Below are 20,901 nucleotides of genomic sequence, written 5' to 3'. Positions count from 1 at the left end.
ATCCCTACTTGCAACTCTGTTAAGAGAGTCCTTGGAATCTGAATTCTGTCAGGGAGAGGCCTGAGCTGGAGCTCCCTGTAGTATTCACATCCACTCAGGGAAAAAGGGATTGAAGAGATTAAGGAGTCAAGAACATTTAGACCAGGACATCTCAGACTTTGTGCATACAAACCTCTGGGGATCTGGTTAAACTGCAGATGCAGGCTCAGAAGATCTGGGGCAAGGACTGAGATTTTGCATTTCTAACAAGCTTCCAGGTGATGCTAGGGGTGGCAGGTCTGTGGAACAAGCACTTGGACTACTAAGGAAGCTCTACATATGTAACAAGGGGCACACTAAAAGAGAGACTTTAAACTTGAGAAAGACAACTCTGTGGAAGGTGAACAAATGCTGGAGTTGCTCTGGCTGGGAAACCCTTATTCCTGCCCATGTCTTCTGTGGTTTGCTGAACTCAGCTTCTGTACCTGATACACTCAGTTGTTGGCTCAGGCCATACTTGCCCTCACCTATTCCCAAGGGAAACTGAGCCCAGGTTTTGGGAAGTAAACCTCCAGGAGAGCATTTCTTAAGGTATGTGTGACCTACGAACCTCCTGCTGAGAATCCTACAGAGGGGTCTTTTCAAAGGCAGACTCCTGGGTCCTTCAGGCACCAGGAATGTGCAGTGCTAGTAAACCTCATGGGTTAATGCTGTTCTGCACTAAAATTTGAAAACTGTTGTTCTAGAAGGGAAACCTCTCGACTGCTGTGTCTCTAAAGGTTTGCATTAGCAGCCCTGCCTTTTCTCCGCTGATCGTTTCTGTTGAGGGGGTCTCCTATTATGGGTCAAAATGCCATGACTAGAGATAGGGCTGTAGTAAGGAGTAAAACAGAGTCTATGAATGTTTTCATACAGATCTGATAGTTATTCCTTAGGCACCAAGCTGGTGGTTCAGCAAAAGGCATGATCTTGCTGGGACGGCTGCAAGCTAGGTAAATGAGGGTGAACTGCTCTGACTTGTGAATCCTGGGCTGAGAGATGAATCACAATTCTCACAAATACTGAGGATCACAAGATGGCCAAAGGAAACTTTCTGGCTAAAGGACCATCCTCTCCTCCAAAATCTGGCTGTCAACCTATTTATATCTCTGGTTTCTGAAGGCTGGAATGGAATGACCTCTAGACACCATCTTTTTGGGGGAAATCTGGTTTTCTGTGAATTCAGATCATCTCTGAGTACACAAGCATTGAGCAGCTAACCTCTATGCACTATAGGTATAGCTTCCTGTGAAATTCCAGTCTTTGTGGGTACTTGAATGCGTTTGCGAAATGCTCACGACTTGCATCTAATGATACAGCCCACCCTCCCCTGTCCTTCTGCTGTAGACTGGCTTCCTCTCTGCGCTCACCTGTCTGTTGGGCGTCTGTGACCTGCCCTCACTGGGTGACCTGGATTGACGGCGCTCTGGGGACTCCCAGTCAGCCTGGGTCCCTCGCTCTTCTGAATTGCAGCGGGAGACATCAGGAGAGAGAAGATGCTTTCGCTCTTTTGATCGTCCCCGCTCCCTGCCCCCTGAGCGGTGAGTGTCAGACTTGTGGCCTGTGAGAGGTGACAAAAGCACTTGGTTATAACTCTGTCCACTCTGACCAATGATGATGAAGGGACTTCTCTCCAAGTATCACATCACAGCCTGGGGTTGGGCCCTCAGAGGAACCACATGTTTGTGTCCCCCCCCAAATTCAAATGTTGAGGCCTAATTTGTTCCTGATGGTATGGTATTAGGAGGCAGGGCATGAGGGTGGGGCCTCCATGATGAGATTAGTGCCCTGATAAGAAGAGGCCTGAGAGTGCTTGCTTCCTGTCTCTCTGCTCTCCATCATGTGAGAATAGAAAGAAGACAGGGATCTGCTGGTACCTTGGTCTTGGATTTCCCAGCCTACAGAACCATGACAAATACATGTTATTGAATCTACCCAGTCTGTGGTAATTTGTTGTAGCAGCCTGAAAAAAGATAGGCCCCTAAAAGAATCCTGGCTTCTCCAGGTATGTCAAAAGATGATCTGAAAGGGAAGCAGGGGAGAAAGGCAGGCTAGCAAATTACCTATTTTGTAAGCAGGTAAGTTTGCAAGGTGCCACTAGAGACACATATGTCAAACAATGCAATCTATTCTGTTTCTATTTATGCTACACACAATATAGGATCTTGGTTAACAATATGGCTCAGGAACTCTATCATAAATATGGCTGCATAACTTTTTGGGGGGAAGGTGGCACCAGCAGAAGGGAATTAAGAAATTTCTATGAACTAAATAATAACACACCTAACATAATGCTATGGTGAGAAGTCCAGGATTGAAATGAAAGGATCCCAGTGCTAGTCCCAGTTCTGCCACTTAATGGCCCTATGACATGGGACAAGTCACTGCTTTTTCAACTTTGATTCCTTTATCCAATAAAACAAAATAGTTGAGCCAGACTAATATATATATATATATATATTTAAAGCAAAAAGCTTAAAAGAAATTCAGGCCAGGTGCAGCGGCTCACGCCTGTAATCCCAGCACTTTGGGAGGCCTACGCGGGCGGATCATGAGGTCAGGAGATTGAGACCATCCTGGCTAACATGGTGAAACCCCGTCTCTACTAAAAATACAAAAAATTAGCCGGGCACGGTGGCGGGCGCCTGTAGTCCCAGCTATTCAGGAGGCTGAGGCAGGAGAATGGTGTGAACCCGGGAGGCAGAGCTTGCAGTGAGCCGAGATCACACCACTGCACTCTAGCCTGTGCTGCAGAGTGAAACTCTGTCTCAAAAAAAAAAAAAATTCAAACACAGGAAATAACTCCAGGTAGCACTGTTTAGGTTGAAGTGGAACTGGTGGTTAAAGTTCAGTCCTTACAGTGGGTCTCTAATACAATCCTAAAAAGCCCCAGTGGTTTTGTAGAAGGCTATTTGAAAAGCTCCCTCAATTCTAATGATTTGTATAGCCCTGCTCCAGAAGGAAGGGATTGCAACAGCTTTTCCGGTGAACACAGAGGAGGGCTTTGGCCTGTTTCAGGATGTAAGTCAGATACAGGAATTCCCTTTGGTAAGGAGCATCCTTCACTTTCTTCAGCCCTTGTCTCTGAATTCTTTTCTGGTTATCTACAGTCCTTGGAGAGTAAGTGCATCAGGGCAGGAGCCCACTGCCTGATGAAAGAGCTGGACACTGAAGACCTCCTCACCTGAATCAGAGTTCAGGCGGTGGGCTGACAGCCGCAAGGAGGAGTGGTAACTCCGGCGACGGGACTTGTAGGTATTTTCACTGCTTCGCTCCATGGAGAATTCCTCCAACCACGAGGAATTTGAACGCTTATCCCGAATAGTGGAAAATGAACGTCTCATGGAGCTAGGGTCTGTCACCACCTGGAAATACAAGCCCCCAGAGAAACACAAGGTATGGATTAACGATTGAAAAGATCTAAAAGGACAGAAGCAGCAAGACTGAGACGTTAAGGAAGGCAAATTGTAACCCCTGGAAATGGTAACTTCCCTTGAATCTCTCTTGCTCAAACCTTAGCTGGTGGAAACTGTTCAAGAAAGCATCCTTACATTATGTTAATATAGTCACTGGAAATGGTCCAGGATCTTTTCTTCTGTAGCTGAGTGTACCAAGGCAAAGCCATGCGGAATGCAGGCAGGAACTGTGCAAGCTCCCATAGAGCCCTCTACCATGGGGCGCAGCCAGGCTGCAGCAAATACTGTGCTGCTTTGAAACATGTGAGGGCAATTGTCTAAGAGGCCACCCCATTCATGAAAGAAGCATGGCTTTGCTTTTTTTTTTTTAAACGCCCTTGCCAGAGAAGGCCCTGCCCTGCAGCACTAGAGCCTAGGAGAGCTTGCAATTTAACAAGTGCTAAGAATGTATCACTCTCCCTCTGCTGCCATCAATCCCACCTAGCCCCGTTTTAAATTCTGGCATTTTGATTTGCCACAGATATTAAAACAAATCTACAAAAACTTCTTGTCTCTGTCAAAACCTGATGTAAGACCGACAGACAGGAAAAAGAAGCCAGGAAAACAGACAAAGAAATGAGATGTGGCCTGCACTGGTTAGGACAGACAGTCCTGACACAGACCTGTGTGTGTAAGTAACTGCATATGTGCTGGAGGAGTCAGGAAACAAAAAAAGGATGGAGAAGTACACAGAGAAAATCCTGGAAAATATTTCTTGCATGGCTGGTTGAATCTTGAGAATGTTTAACCCGTCCGGAGTGAAGTATGCAATTTTGTTCGCTGGGCTGTTGTGGTTAGGGGGGGTCATTGAAAACACCGGAGAAGCAGGCTCTATTAGAGACGACCCATGAGCCAGGTTTTATTTATAGGGAAGGGGTGCGGGCAAGTCAACGGCTCACCTGCAAATATCAGATATTATTCCATAACCCAGCTAATACAGCCCGGATGCCACTGCATTAATGTAGGTGGTTGCTTTTTACCTGGGGATCCACAGTCAGACGTGGCATAGAAGATGCCCTCCCAGATCCCGCATGCTCCTGGGTGTCCGAAGGAAGGTAGATGCCATGGTTAGAGGGCTGCACGCTTTTTAATTCACTAACCTCTGGCTCCTGGAAATAAACACACAGCCAAGCTTGTGGGACTTGGTTCCATCTCATTGCTTCTCACGTCCAGTGGACAATTCAGCCTCCTCAAGAATGGCTTTCAAAAGAGAGACTTGCAGCTTTAAGGTCTCAGTTGTATGTATATGTGTGTGTGTGTTTATGTGCACCTATGTGCTATATGTTCCGGACAGGAAGCTCTAGCTGGGATTGAGTGCTGAAGGTCACCTATTTTTCTGGTGTAGATTCCTCTTTTTCATCACTAAGCAATGATTCAGATTTTATTGTTTTCTGCAACAAACACTGTTTGGTATAATACTTTTCAGATATGTGAAGTTCGCTTTCTAAGAAGTGATAGCATTGGATTTATTCTTTTAATCTGAAGAAGCCTTTTATCAATTAAATAGAAACCAGTTTTCTAAGGGAAGTCAACAATTTCTGATGTCAAATACGTCTTCTCAAGCCTTAAGACACGTGACGTTAAGAGTTTTCTTCTGATTGAAACCATCCAAAGATGTGGTGGGTGGCTGTCAGGGATGCCCTGAGTGACACAGTCCCATGGAAGGATGATGCAAGCCACTTGCAGAATTTTAAATGTCCAAGTAACCATGTTGTTAACCATGTTGTAAAAGGTGAAATTTAATAACATTTAATTTAGCTGAATATATCCAAATAGTAGCATGTCAACATGTAATCAATATAAAAATTAGATAGTTTATATTTTATTTGGACTAGCCACATGTGGCTAAGAGCTATTGTTTTGGACTGTGCCAGCCTACAGTGTTATCAGGTTGGACTGGAAATCTCTAAGGTTCTGTCATTCTTGTTTGGCAGCTGTGCATGCGCTATACAGATAGCTAGTATCATTGCATAAAGAGCTGTATGAGAGATGTTTACGTGGGCTACCTAACAAAAAGACCTAAGAACATCTTGGGCAGATGGAGATCGTACCAGAAAAAGCTATTTTATATTTAGGAAATGACACCCTAAAAACAGGGCATTGCCCAAAGGAAAGAGTGTCTGGGACCCCCACCTTAGCCTATGTGACCATTTGGCTGAGCGGTTTCTGGTGTGTATGGCAGGGGTACTTTCCCAAGACATGTGCTATGGTGCACTTGAGGGAGTTATAGTGTTTGTTTGTAGTACATGCTTTGTATAGCACACAGTTCTGACTCCAGACAGACGTGGTAACAACACTGCAGTCTACAGGTATCAGAGGTGGTGTGAGACACACACTCCATATGCACACACACAATCATGGCCACGCCTGGGGACATGGAGCAGCAGCCCCGAGGGATGGGCAGAAGTACACAGTGTTGAGTGTGTAGCACAGGCTGACACCTAAATTGAATTACAGACACTGGTACTGACAATGAGATGAACACATATCCAAAAAGTCCTGGCACTACGGCTCAGCCCTGGGGAACCCGCAGAAATGATGTCATAAAGTCTCCCTGTGAAAGAAAGGACACATTATTGAGATTTTTTTCCCACTAGACACATCGCCAGGCAGGCAAAATGCTGCGAGGTCTTTTTAAGAATCAAACTATCTATAGTTTATTATTCCACAGGTCTTGGTGCTAAGTTCCTCAGAGGGGAGGGCAGAGAATGACTCTACTAGTTCCTACCTGCCTCATCAAGAACACCCTCAGGCAGTCAATTGCTCAGCCCTGGGGGCGTCTGGACTAACTGTCTCCCCCACACAACCATGCACGATTCTCTGTCTCAGCACTCGCAGGAGATAGAAGCACGCATTTGTTTGAGCTACTGAGTGTTTTTCGCCCTCTGTGGGGGTGCCCATTCCATCACACATCATTCAGGGTGGCTCTGAGGTACACAGTAGCAGCGGGGAGGGATCAGGAGAGAAATGAAGGGGAGAGAAGAGCCACAGATGAATCAGAATTTAAATGATATGGAACTCACTTAGTACAAGCTGTCTGTACAGACTTTTGCAATGGTTGGGTTTTGTCTTTTTTTCTCTTCAGTCCAGTGACTGCTTGGGCTTCAATTCTAAGCTAAGGTCGGGGTGGGGGACCTTGAGCTCATGGCTCCTGAACTAGGAATAATGGTAAAGTCAATGATGTTTAGGAACCATATTTTAGCTTTGTATTAGCTAAGCCAAAACTTGAATCTCTCCTCTCTTCTTCAGGCTTTCACTTGACTCAATAGGTCTCTCAGGAATTGCTTTTTTGTTTGTTTTTGAGACGGAGTCTTGCTCTGTCACCCAGGCTGGAGTGCAGCAGCGCCATCTCGGCTCATTGCAAGCTCCGCCTCCCAGGTTCATGCCATTCTCCTGCCTCAGCCTCCTGAGTAGCTGGAACCACAGGTGCCTGCCACCAAGCCTGGATAATTTTTTTTGTATTTTTAGTAGAGACGGGGTTTCACCGTGTTACCCAGGATGGTCTCGATCTCCTGACCTCATGATCTGCCCGCCTTGGCCTCCCAAAGTACTGGGATTACAGGCGTGAGCCACCGCACCCAGCCAGGAATTTCACCATTTATGCTAATAAACTCATTTTGGGGTCAGGGAAGTGACTTTAGTGGCCTGTTAGAATGTCTTTGAATTGTGACCAAAAGGGACAATGTGCCTGAACCCACACAGAGCAGAGGTAAGACAGTCTTCTGTGCCTCCTGGCAGGCAGCTCATCACTGTGGCACATGCTGCTGCTAGGTTCTAGAGGAGGTGGGCATCACTAAGGAATGGCATGGGGCATTTGTGTGTCCCACAAGCAGTACCTAACTACACTAAGAGGCAGGGTTGGTGTCACTCATTCTCTGGTGATGCATCTTCAAGCTCCCCATCAAAGGCAAGATTTTATAAGTGACTTCCGGTCTTACACTTGATATTCGGGCATAAACTAAGAGGGCTTGGCCTAAAGCAATTTAAGTTCCTGCTGCAGGGAAGGGACCTCTGGGACTGTAAAACCTGAAGAGGGAACATTGTCAGAGCACATGAGAAACTGGGCTAGAAAAGGGCTAAGGCAGGACACCTCCAGGGCAACTGGCTAAACTACTAGAATGGATTTTCCTGACGGACCATGACTATGTAATAAAATTAGTGAGAGGGATCAGGAAACCAAGGAAGTAGTTTTGAGGTCATATAACTCATGCATTCACCAGAGACTGCCGTTCTTGGAACTGTCCGTCATCGGCGGGGTCCATACAAGCCAACTGGAATATATCCTGGGGAGAGAGTGGACTCATCGAAGGGTATCCACTCCGGCCACTCCTGAAAAGCAATGTCAAATCCAGAGGTAATGAGGGACAGTCATGCCACTAGCAATTCCCACCCCAGCAGGGCAACACCCTTTAGCCTTGGCTGGCTTTTGTAAACCTAGTAACTTACATGTGGCTAGTCCTGAAATTAAAAAAAAAAAAAAAAAGCACTAGAAGAGACAGAAACTGATGTTTTCAACCTGCATCCTGCCTTTGAAACCATTCATTATTCTGCCGGGGGCTAGCATGTCTATGACAAATGACATCATTTGTCACATTCAGCCATATGGAAGAGCAACACTAGATTGTAAACCTATTTCTGCTCAGTTTCCCCATTTGGCGGAAAAACACCCTAGTTTACACAGTGAACAGTTTGTTTAAATATTAAGCAGCCATGGACTTTTTAAAAATTTTCCCTACTCGCAGTAAGAATATGGTCTTATTTCGCCAACATCCCTGGCCAAACTAAACAATTAAGTCCAATTCCATTGCCATTTATTGAAGGACTACTTTGTACCATACATTAAGTCTGTTGGTTCATGAACTGAGAAGGATTTCAGAGGTGGTGGTGAGGAGTTGAAAACCTCTTGGTTGATGGCAATGTAGGAAGAGGTTTAAATGGTGGTGAGAAAAGAGGATGGAGACAAAGTCTGCCCAGTTGTTTAGAGGCCTCCAAGGGAAAAGAATGCAGAACTGGCACAGTAGGCTTGTTATTAAACCACTGTCTAGTACTTCCAGATACTCTTAACCTGACGGGATCCACTGGGCTTGTTAGGAGAGAAAGAAGCAGCCAAGCTTTCTGGAGAATGAGGTGCCTGTTGCCAAATTATTGGCTGACTGCCACCAGTATGGTAATAGCTACCATCTGACCTGCTCAAGAATGCAGAGTGAGCTTCCAGATTATGGGAGGAAGGACTGGGGTCAGTGGCTGGGCAGCAGCTCTCTTGGTGGCGGAGTTAGGAGGGAGAGATGGGACACCATCTCTTTTAAGTCTACTGCTGATGACTCTGCATCCAATGGAAAACTCAAGGCATGAGCAAGGATTGCCAATTACTTAAAAACAATCCATAGGAATGTTTTTTTAGATTACAGGAGAAGATATGAAGAGCAGAGAATCACCTAATCTGTCCCCTTGCTTCCAATGAGAGCTTTTGCTGAGTTTTCACAGCTGCTACAGAGTTTTTACAGTATTTAAATGACCTGCCTAAATGTCAGTCATCTTCCCCACTTGTGGCATCTCCTGAGAACCACTGGGAACAAGATTGAGCACAGCTAGTATAAGAATGAGTGAGTTCTCGGCTTTGCACTGTGTTTCACACCTGTACTCTCGGCACTTTGGAAGGCCGAACCGGGAAGATAGCTTGAGCTCAGGAATCTGAGACCAACCTGGGCAACAAAGCAAGACCTGTCTCTACAAAAAAAATTAGCCAGCAGTGATAGCACGTGCCTGGGGTGGTCCCAGCTGCACAGGAGGCTGAGGCAGGAGGTTCACTTGAGCCTAGAAAGTCGAGGCTAAAGTGAGCCAGTTGTGCCACTGTACTCCAGCCTGGGCAACAGAATGAGATCATGTCTCAGAAAGAAAGAAATGGGTTCCTTTTTGTCCTACAGAGAGTAAATAATTATAGAATCCTCACTAGAGGGAGAGGACCCTTGGAATCACTTAATAATCTCACAGAGTTAAATAACTGGAACCCAGAGTGATCTCCTACTTTGAAAACCTTGTCAAGCCGGGGCATAAAGTCCAGAATTCTGAACACAGCCTCCCTCATGATCTGGTCCCTACGTCACTAGCCTCCTCTTGTACCACTTTCCCCTTTGCTCCCTGAACTCCAGACATGGCGGCCTTTTTTAGTTCATTGGATAGGCTAGGCTTGTTTCTGCCTCGAGATTTTAGTAGAGGCCACTCTAAGAGTGCAGAACACTTCTCTCCAACTCCCCTACCACTCTGTAAACTCTTTCTAGCACTTATCAGAACTGTAAGTAAATCACTGAAAATGCAACTTTTCTTCTTTCCAATAATCCTCTGTTTAATGTCTGGTTTTCCACCATATTTGAGGGAGCGACCCTATCTGTTATGTCTACCACTATACCCCTAGATCAACCTCTACTGAACAATGCATGGCTCTAGAAACACAGATGGTTCTGAGGAACCAGCCTGCTGTTCCACCAGTGTCCCAATGTCAGGAAATGTACCAACATGCACCCAAAGGCTTCACCCAGAATCCTTTGCTTCCTCCTTCCCCTTTAGTCCAAGTAGCAAATCAATCACCAAATCCTATCCAGTCTTATCTACCAAATTTCTCACATCTGACCATCTGTCTCCATCTCTATCCTGCTAGTCCAAGCTACTATCACTGATAATTTACACAACTGCAGTAACCTACGAAATGGTGTTCCTGCCTCTAGAAATGCTTCCCTCCAATCCATTTAGCCTACACTGAATTCAAGAAAGCACACATCTGATCACATGATTCTGATGCATAAAACCCCATTATCCAAAGACAAAATCCAATTTCTTTATCCTGCTTATAATGCCCCCAAAGTACTAGCCCCTGTGTATCTCTCCAAATCCATAACTTAACACATCCCCTGAGCTCTCCATGCTCCAACCATCATGACAGTTTTTAGGTTCCTTAAACTTACCATACTTTCTCTTACCACTCTTGAAGAGCTTGTCTTCAAGTCTCACTCAAATGTTACTTCCTCAGGAAGGACTCTCTAAACCCTCAAACTGAGTGAGCTGTTTCCATGACATCACAACAGCCCACCCTTCAGCATCGTTTGCCTGTATTGCTCTTGTAATTTCTTCTTCCAGATTTGTCTCCATGGGGACGTGTTCTTTGCCATAGCCCCAGTGCCTAAGTCAGCTCTGGGGACATATTGGCTCTTAATAAATATTGGTAAAAATCAATGAGTAAATGGATCAATAAATACATGGAGAAAAGACAGAGTGATCCTATGGTGGTGGGTTAATTTGTAAAGCAAATTGTAGATAAACAGAGATTGCAATTTAGGGGGTGGTATCCCCCATTTCTAAGCCAAGGACTGCCAAAACAAAAACAACTCAAGCCTGTAATCCCAGCACTTTGGGAGGCCAAGGCAGGCGGATCATGAGGGCAGGAGATCGAGACCATCCTGGCTAACACGGTGAAACCCCGTCTCTACTAAAAATTAGCTGGGCATAGTGGCGGGTGCCTGTAGTCCCAGCTACTCGGGAGGCTGAGGCAGGAGAATGGCATGAACCCGGGAGGCGGAGTTTGCAGTCAGCTGAGATCGTGCCACTGCACTCCAGCCTGGGCAACAGAGCGAGACTCCGTCTCAAAAAAACAAACAAACAAAAAACAGTGTAAACCCTTCCAGTGAAGAGGTCCCACTCTTCCAATCATACTTCTTTCCCTCCCTCCCTCCTACACAAGCAGAAGATAAACACTGACTTGTTTTCTGTGGACAGGAGAATTCACACACTGTACTTCATAACATCAAATTATTTAAAAAAAAAATGACCTTGGTCATGACTCTCATCCTTTTCTTCTCTTCCAAAGATGTTGGACTTTGATCTCTGAAAACAGTGCTTTTCAAAAACAGTCCAGCCCCACAGGCAGAAAGAAATCAATGATCTGAGCAATTCCAAATGACTCCGACAGAAGTCTCATTCCCAAGCCCTAAGTATCACTCTCTTAGTAATTAACATAAGCGATTTGGTGATTCCTGGTTTTGTAAGAACTGGGACTTTGTTAAACCCAATCACAAAAGCTCATTTACATTGAGTAGAAATACTTGTGTTCTTTAGGTATGCACTAAATGCTTGCTGATGATCGAAATATAATGTTATGAGATACATATGCTATAGTAGATTAATTGGGGCAAAGGCTTATCACTCAGAAGGATGGGAAAATTCCTTAATTTGTGTTTTATTTTTACTCCTATTATAGAAAAAGTAAGTTCCCTTTCTGAATAAGGTCCCTTTTGTTCATTAAAGAAAACATGGTATAGTGAAAACACTCTGGGGTCAGAAATAAGGAACTTAAATTCCAGTTCCACATTCTACTACCCAGGACTTTAGGCAACGTAGTTAACCTCAGTTAGTCTCCAGTTTCTTCATGTGTAAAGTGGTGATATTAATATATACCTCCAGGGTATAGTAGGCTGCTAGAGTGGGAATCAAGTGAGATTCTGCAAATAGTGTCTCTATAAGTGTCAACCTCAGGGAAAGCAGTAACTGCTGGTTTTATTCCCCTCTTACACTCAGCCAGCATGGCACCTGTGAGGGAGGCTCTATCTTCCAGCAGGACACTAGATCCACGGGGAAGCGATAATCAAGAATTAGTTGTAGTTCTGTTGTGAAGAAAAATAATCTCCTCTATAAGACCCAAGTATATTAAAAGAAGTCAAACTCCCTTCTTCTATTGTTCATTCAAAGTGATCACCGACGTTGACCACAGTGCTAAGTATGCTTAGTCTGCTTTTCTCTTACTCCTGCTGAAAATCACTTTAAGATATTCAACTTCAGAAAAAGGATCACTCAAGCTCAGAGTATTTGTTCTTGGGCCCTTCTGAGCAGTGAGTTTTGGGGTCTGCACAACAGCATGGGTGACAGATTGCAAACAGCCATGCCAGGGATGTTTTGGTGCTACTCACAGGCCTGAAACGGGGTCCTGCTGGAGGTAAGGCAGGGCTTTGGCATTAGCAATGATCTCCTGAGGCAGAGATGAAGGCTCCATGCGCTGGAACATGGGGGCATTTTTCTGGGTAAAAAGAGGGAAGAAGAAGGAAAGAATTCCAATGACTACGGAGTTTGCTGTGGGGAAAATAAAATTAACATGGATAATACAGGCACATAACTTATCCCTTGTTTGACCATTTTAACCTTCGATCCACTGGGTTTCTAATTCCACGTCACTAGAAAGTTCTTGGGCCCCGCACCCATTACTGCTGCTTCTAAGTCCTTGCCGGGCACTATGCCCCAGGGAGGCACAGGCCTATTCCCTCCTGCAACTCCTCATGGCCCACCCACTTAGCATGCTGGCATTGACTTTCACCTGTTCCTCCAGCTGCTGCCTCTGCTTCTTCACCTTACTCTGCTTATAGTAGTCCATGATCATCATTGCTGCATAGATTTTGCCCACAGTCAGGTCAGAGGCTAGAAACACAAATGTGGCATGATGGTGAACAGGGAGTAGATAATGGGAGAGAGTGAGGAACCTCTAAGCTTTGTTACCCACTCTCTGGAACAGGTCTGTGCTATCAGTCACCCATTCATCCAATGTATATTGAGGGCCCCCATGGTGCCAGGATCTGAGGATGCAGAGTGCATAGATCCCCTGATCTGTCCTCAGGGGGCTTGCATGCCCACCTAGTGATGGTGACGATACTGAGGATAAGCAGTACATGAGTAAGCATCACGCCTACCATTCTAAATCTCTATAGCTAAGTGACAACATCCTTTCTCCCATGAAGGTTTGCTGAGCAGTATTATATGGAGGGAGAGAGCTATACACCCAGGAAGTCTCATCCACAACCACAGTGACCTATCTTAAAGAACATGTTTTATCCTTAAGTCCCTTTTGTCCTTATTAATTGAAAAGGGCAAACTTTCCTTATCTCTTTGATCACTCTGGGTTCCCCCCAAAGACGTAGTCTTCACATGCTGGGCCCACAGTGACAAGGATACCCAGGAGAAGACCCAAACCTTTGGGCATGGGCACAAGCAGATCCAGCATCTTCTGGGATAGGTGAGGCCAGATGGCTAGGGTCTCCTTTTGTAGCTCTGAGTCTAGCTGCTGCCTGTCTGCACCACCTAGAATAAGATAAATTACTAATAAATAGAATAGACCCAGAAATAACCAGGACTGAGGGAGGAGGTGAAGGTAGGAGCTGAATCAGCAGGGCACCTCATATTTTAAGAGGAAATCTTGGCACTGAGTGACAGTGGATCTTGCAATACCAGGTCTTTCTGCTGAAGAAGCAGAACACATTTTGGCTCCCTTTTTCAGTGACTCAGGGATATCCTGCCAAGAGATCTGAGGCCCTCAGACTAAGAGCAACTTCCTCATTCGTTCTAAAAGCCTCCCAGGTGCTCAATACATCAGAGGAGAAAATAACAATAGCCGCAAGTACGTTCCTCTGCCTTCTTATCCATACATCAATCCCTCCAGCAACCCTAACTCCATAGTCTGAGTGACCTGATTTTAAAAAGGATTTAGATTGCACAAAAGCAGAAAGGCTAAAGGTCCACCTGGAAGTAGTAGTAAGCCTGTTCTCTCCTAAATCAATCATTAGAAATCAAGAGGAATAAAACACTACCATGGCCTCTATGACAGCACCTTCTGCCACAGAAGCCTCTCAAGACTTCAGAGAAAATAAACCATATACAGAAAAAAAGGACAAAATTAACCTCTGGTCAATAAATATTTCTAGAATACCTATTGTGAGCCAGACACTGAAGATCATATACTTTTAAAGCTGAAAGAAGCCCTAGAGATTATCAAACCATTCACTGTACCAGAAGGAAAGGGCAATTATTAGTTATTGAGTCAGATACTTGATGTTCAGATGACTGCATTATTGTGTCCTTAACTGGATAGATGACAGTTCAAATATCTCCATCCTGTGCCACCTGCATGAGTTGTTCCAGAATTCCTCCTTCCCACCTCCCTTCCTAAGCTAAGCTTACCTTTGGCAATTTTAATGTCCAGAGCTGTCCGGATCAGAGCCATAAGTGTGGAGGTGAAGTGGACCGTCATGTCCTCAGCTACTGGCATGTTCATCAGGACCAACCTCTGTGTGAAAGAGAAAAAAGAAACAGCAGGCAAAAAAAAAAAAAATTGAAAGACATCTCAGTGAGAAAGGAAGAAAAGGGTAGAGGTCAAATGCACAGACGAAAAAGAAGGGCAAGGATCCCCATCCCCTGCCCCAGTCCTTCTCTCCCTGCTTCTCACTTAAGGCTCATTTGCTGCTGTTTTGTTGTTGTTGTTGTTGTAGTTTGTTTGTTTTTTCTCCACCAAGGGAATGATGCCAAATTCCAAAGGGAAGGGGCTTCCCTAATCATTCAGTAAGGCCCCCCCTTGGAGTCCTAAGAATGTCTTTGTTAGGGATGGGAAGTGATTTCTAAAAGAAGTGGCTCAAGGAAAGGAGTCAGCTCGGGGAGGTGGCTCCATTTCCTGTTCAAGGCTGCTCCATATTTCCACTTGTCCCATGAATACCCCCTGAAACTCATATGGAAATACAGTGAGAAATGAGATTTTGCTTTGCTTATCTAACTTGAAAGATGTATCCTGGTGCCCCCTTTTTGAGTCTTTAATAGATGAAATTTGCCCGCACATGATTGAACATGCATAAGTCCAACTTGTCTAAAGGATGAGGTGGAGCAGGATGGACAAGGGGGAGAGTGCAAACAGGCTCTGGGGTAGGAGGATGGGGAGAGCGGAGGAGACAGAACGAGGAAGGGTGGCCCAGGCAGGAGCAGAGTGGGCAGGCCTTGTTCCCCTTACCCAAAGAAAGGGATCACACTGAAATGGCCAAATCCACTTTCCAGAGAGTATTTTGCTTTTGGAGCTCTTTAACTTTTCCTCCAATCCCCGCTCCCCTTCTCCCACCAAGCTTCATCCCAGAGGTACAAATTCAAGGCCACATTCTACCACCTGGTACTTTTGGATGTGGCCATCGTGAGCAAAAAGGATGCCAGCCCCTAAGCTGTGCACGAGGAGCCATGTACTGGGGGGAATGAGGGTCCCTAATGGCCATGTTCCAGTGAGATGCTATCTGGGGCCATACAATGTGAGGTAGCAGCAGGAGAACGTCCTCTGGCAGAACCACCAGCCTGGCAGAGAGGGAAGTACCTCTTCCCAAAGAAGGGTCTCTAATGTTCCATTGCAGCATCCTGCCTAAAGCTGATGCCACATGGTGTCTTAGAGTGGAAAGCCAGTTTCTTGTTTGGATTTGAGTTCCATCTCTCTCCCACTTCTTTAAACATCTAGAGAAGTGGAAACATTACTATGATGTGTTCCTAGGTGAATGAAAGAGCTCCAGAGTTCTGGGTCAGTCTAAATAGCAAAGGGGAACTAACAGTAACTATTACTAATGGGTGGCAAAACAACTCATGTCCAAAAGCTATGAGCACCCCAAGGGCAAGTGACTCCCAGTGTACAATAATCTCTAAACAGCAAGCCATAGGGGAATCCACCCATAACTCTGGGGCCAGGCCCCATAACTATGTTATGCCAGTAAGTCAAATTTAATGCTGAATACAACTTGTGCCCATTATTTCCCTTCCTTTTGAGTATTTCCAAGAGAATTGGGTAGCTGGGCTAGTGGAATAGAGCTGCATTCCTCAGTCTATCACAGGATGGAAGACAGGTTCCTCTTTTCTTCTTACACCTAGAAGGAACCTATGCCATTCTTCCTATGTCATGGGTGAAAACATTTGTTATGAGTTTTCCTCTCTCCTAAAAATTTCTTGTTTAAAGGAATTTTCCTTTCTCCTAACAATTCCACGTTTAAAGGAATTTCTGCATGATTTCCTTATCTGATTGAAGATATTTCTTTGCATATGAGCACTGATAGCTGTTTTGCTGTAGGCTTCCTTCTTGCCCATATATGCCATCCCACAGGCCACCACTCTGCCTCCTCTAAAAGGAAACACACCACTTAACACTGCTTGTCAGGTAACTCACTCACAAGAAGCCACACAGTTGTAGAAACACAAAATATCACATAAAAAACCATGTTGAACAGTATTAAAAACCATTCCTTGTATTGTCTCATGAGTTCGTCCTCCTGGGAACCTTCCTGACTCTTCAGTCTCATCGTGCCTTTCCTCCTTAGTTCCCTCCTCCACCTCCCCAGCCTGGCTTCCTCCCCATGTTCTGGCCTCCCCACAACTAGATCCCATTTCCTGTTGGTCTGTAGCCCAGAGCAAAGGAAGGGGTGGTCTACCTTATATGCCACTTTGGAGGGACATCTCTTGCCGAGGCCTAGCGGAGGTGACATGAGAGTCAGCATTTCATACATCTCAGTGTAATGGATGCGGCCACTGCTCATGGAGGGTGGTGAGTTGGGATGGGGTGGGTTAGCGGGGCAGTGGGGTGGCAGGGAAAGGAGAAGGAAGTGGGGAGAAGGATGCAGACAGATAGGAGAGGAGAATAGGCATTCCCAGAGAGCAAAAACGAACAAAATACAGAAAACAGGAGAAGAAAAACAAAACAAAATGGACAAACGGGAAAAGAATAGGAAACCTGTTAATCAAGGCAAATCGTAGACATGACTCCATCCTGGTGCGGTTTATATCACGCCCCACACAGACCCGGGAAAACTGGTGGCAACCTTCAGTCCCTATGACTCTCCATGGGAACAGTCACGGGGTCTCATTTTCTCCTCGATTAGCATTCCCCTGACTTCCCTGTTCACTTCATCCCTCCCCAATACAACACAGCTTATTTTCAATTCCCAGGGCTGTGTGTGAGTGGTATAAACCGGATAGACGGTGCTCCAGCCATGGGTTGGAGTTTCTGACCCCGGCTGGGGCGCTGGCCTGGAAGTCAGGCTGTTCTCCACTGAACCCACAGGCAGAACGTCGTGTATCCCCCCTCTGGTGTGTGTGTGCAGCAGGAGGCGGCGTCTTGCACTGAAGGTGGTGGGCTGTGCTTGCTGCTCAAAGAGTTGGCCCCGTTGCTTCCACCTGGCTCTGTGGACAAGACTGCTCTTTATTCCCCAGCATGTGCCAGGTCAATGGCATGCTGGGGACAGAAGAAACAAAAACAGGAGGAGGAAGAGCATCTTGCATGCCATGCTACCCTCCCCAGCTCTCCCACATGCGGCTGCGGGTTTCACCAGGGTGGAGTTTAAAGAGTCTCAGCAGAGGCAGCTGTCCAGCCTCCTGAGTATGGAATCACCGTGTCACCATCCCAGGCCAGCTCTATCCCATTGTCCAGGCTGGCATCCTTCCTGAGCCTAGGTCATCTTCCAGCTGCCTGGGCAGTGCTATGCCCCAGGGAGCCCATGCTTCCCTCCACTTGCACCAGGAGAGGGTTCCTTACCTAGCAGGCTTGGCCTCACATAGGGGCTTAGTAGAGCCATTGGGATATAGAGAATTCCCTGGGTATGGCAGATTTGAGCAGGGAGGTCCTACTCACCCCTGAACAATATCCTTGGTGTAACTGACAAGAAGTGACTTGGAAATTATGACAGCTCCCTCAGATCCCTCACAGCAACCCATGGCAGGACCCTAAGGTAGGGACTCTCTCAGTAGTGCTTCATTCACTGTGATCTTCCCAGACTCTCTGAGCTATTACTACCTTCTTCCACACAGCACCAAATCCATGCCTCTTTTACCTACTCTCACCTCTTGCCCTAATTCCTTGTTTCTCACCCCTTCTGTCCTATAGCTTTCATAGTCATTCTGACCAGACCATCCAGGAGCTGGGAGGGTGGGATCACTAGGATCATACTCCATACATTACATATGGGACGATGAGGCTCTTTTGCTAAAATGAGGCTTCTCCATCTCCAGTGAAAAGAAGCCAGAATTCTTTTGCTGGGTTAAAAATATTTCTGCATTCTATAGAGAAAGGAGAGGTCCCTCTGATTAACTATACAGACTAAGGTGGACCTGTGTGTGTGTGTGTGTGTGTGTGTGTGTGTACATGTGCATATACACACATACATGAGTGTGTGCATGTGAAGAGAGCGATCACACTGGTCTTCACATGAAGTTCTTAACTCTTCTGCCTTTTCCCCAAAGTATGCCCTTATCTTTATGTAACAGCTGCTGGTTCTGGAAGGGTTTGGACCTCTTTAAACTCAAAGGAAAGCAACATGAAGGTTCCCTCATGTGGCGCAGTGGTGGTGGAGCAGAGGACAGAGAGGAGGGGTTAGATGTTGCATCCCACGGCAGATCATGGCTGGGGACTGGGAGGCAAACCTTGCAAGCCACCCTGTAGGGGCAGTTCTCTCCCAGGCCCAGAGGAGGCGAGATCACCCGCACTAATTTGTACATATCCTTATACGGGATCCTGCCGCTGTAAAGGAAGCACAGGTGGGTTAATAGGACACTCAGAGAAGGGTAGAAAAGAAATGACAGCTTAGCCATGAAGAGGATGGCTGAAAGAGGTCAGAGCAGCTTCTTTCCTTGGGCCTGGCAAAGCCAGACCAGGAGAGACTGAAAACAGTAAGCACCAGAGAACCATTACCTTGCCAAACTGCACTGCTGCAATTTTCTAAGGAAATCAGAGCCTGGTCAATGCCAAAGGGAACTGCCTAATGACCAAGAGCACCCCATTATACCTATCTGGACCATACCTGGCCAGATGCAGACACAGCCCTGGCTCTAGCTAGGCTTCTAGGAACAAAGCCTGCCAATTCACAAATGACTCAGACCGCTGTCCAGAGCAGATGTCAGGCTGCCTTGAAGTGGACTGCAGAACTGTTTGCTTTTCACAGACACTGATTACAGTCAGTTACTCAGACCCACTTTTCAGGGGCAGTGGGAAGTCAGCGGCTTTCTGCAGTCTGGAAGAGACAAATTTCCCATTAGGCTAATTAGCAAGGAGCACAGTTGGCATGAGGGAAATCACAAAGGGCTTTGTTTCTCTTTGTGACAGATTTTTCTGCGTTCAGCTTGGGCAAGTCTTCTTTACTCAGTAGGAGCCTGCTGAGGTCTGTGTTCAGAGAGCAGCCAGGGAGGAAGCCATGGACACTCTCCCCGCAGCCCTCTTTCTGCCACTCAGCCAACAGCAGCTTGGCTGGAGCCAGCCAGAATTCTAGCTATCTTACCAACCCTTTTCCCAGGAGCCCATTAGAGAGTACCAGCTTCCTATGGAAGGGATAGAATTAATGATTGATTAATTTTCAGTGGCTACAGCATCTTCTCTGTCAGCGTCCAGAAAAAGAAGCAACACCCAGGGATCTGCAGGTCTGTATACACCCTGGAACAGACCAGGGTTTCCGCTGGAAATTATAAGCACAACATCTCCACCTCTGTGCATTCAGTCCTTGCTTGCAACTGTCTGGAGACTATTGCTTCAGCCCAGCTTTACTCTTTCTAGGCTTTTTGAAATTTGAGGGTTGATTCCTCCTATTCTTCCAGATAGCAGCTCATCAGTACCTCCAAGTCTCTCAACTCTTGAGAGGAGGTAATTTAGCCAGTTGTCCTTTCATTTTGCCTTAGTGAGATTGGGAAGTAGGTGGGTTGGGAGTGGCTATAGACTGACATTTTTTGCAACTGGTTTCAGCCCCCCTTTTGAAGACACTGGCTCACATTACTTTTGTTAGTCTTCCTCACCCACCTTATAAAGAAAGCCAACCAAACTCTAACTAACTAGAATGAATTACACTGTGAATTACAAAGCACACAGAAGAAATTCTTCTTTGTCTTTATGCTCTTTCCCAGTCCACACGTCTGAGTCTCATGATTCATCCTCATGGAATCATTTCTTCCCAGCAACTGGAATAAGTAGGGAGGAGCATGTTTTATACACACAGCATTTGGATCCCAAGATAAGTGAAACCACAAGAAGCTGGGGTTTCTGGAAGCCAAGGATACCTGAGTGAGCCCAGATGAACAATGGACTTTTTTGCTCACAGTTGGTTTCTCCTCTTGGGTGAGTGAAGAGGTCCCTTCTTAGGCTCCCAATCCCATAGATATCCATGGTAACAGAGGCTGATTTTCTAGACATTCCAATTAGCATTCCCGTGTGGTTATTGTTGATTATAATAACAGTTACACATGATTTAATATCATCCTCACAAACACCTTGCAAGTTATGTAGGTATCACGATCACCATTTTACAGGTAAAGAAGCCCAGAGTGGTTACGTGACTTGTCCAAGGCCATGGAGCTGAAGACACGCAGGCCTGGCTGCCTTCTCCTCTAACACACTGCCCATTGCTTTCTAAGATCTATTTATTAGAAAGTAAGACCAGAAAGAAAAAGCTGTTGCTCAGCCATTGTAATAGGAATGGATTTAGATAACTCTGTACCCTAAGTCATTAATAATTAATGAAGGAAAGAATTCTGATTCACCCTTCTAGTCTGTAAAACAGTGACCCAAGTTCAACAGCCTCACCAGAGGATAGATTTTTGGGAAAAGTCTCTGATTATGAAGGGGGTTCCAGGT

At 45.8% G+C, this 20,901-nt stretch overlaps 1 protein-coding gene across 13 annotated transcripts in view; it reads right to left on the bottom strand.

Annotated features, from left to right (window-relative positions):
* CACNA1E (calcium voltage-gated channel subunit alpha1 E) overlaps window positions 1–20,901 on the bottom strand; it is a 490,386-nt gene that overhangs the window by 9,838 nt on the left and 459,647 nt on the right. For 7 of the 13 annotated variants that reach the window (XM_017002243.2, XM_017002248.2, XM_017002245.2 and 4 more), the window contains 9 exons: window positions 16,724–16,820; window positions 14,463–14,568; window positions 13,479–13,586; window positions 12,829–12,929; window positions 12,428–12,534; window positions 7,691–7,802; window positions 4,454–4,582; window positions 3,203–3,383; window positions 1,389–1,579 (listed from right to left, as the gene is read on the bottom strand). In XM_017002243.2, coding sequence (XP_016857732.1) covers window positions 1,389–1,579; window positions 3,203–3,383; window positions 4,454–4,582; window positions 7,691–7,802; window positions 12,428–12,534; window positions 12,829–12,929; window positions 13,479–13,586; window positions 14,463–14,568; window positions 16,724–16,820 — 1,132 coding nt within the window. Of the gene's footprint in view, window positions 1–1,388; window positions 1,580–3,202; window positions 3,384–4,453; window positions 4,583–7,690; window positions 7,803–12,427; window positions 12,535–12,828; window positions 12,930–13,478; window positions 13,587–14,462; window positions 14,569–16,723; window positions 16,821–18,707; window positions 18,805–20,901 lie in introns of all 13 variants that reach the window. The other 6 variants (XM_017002249.2, XM_017002250.2, NM_000721.4 and 3 more) reach the window with 2 other exon arrangements.

This window comes from Homo sapiens, chromosome 1 (assembly GCF_000001405.40).
Source record: "Homo sapiens chromosome 1, GRCh38.p14 Primary Assembly".
Lineage (NCBI taxonomy): Eukaryota > Metazoa > Chordata > Mammalia > Primates > Hominidae > Homo > Homo sapiens.
This window is presented reverse-complemented; position numbering and strand designations above follow the sequence as displayed.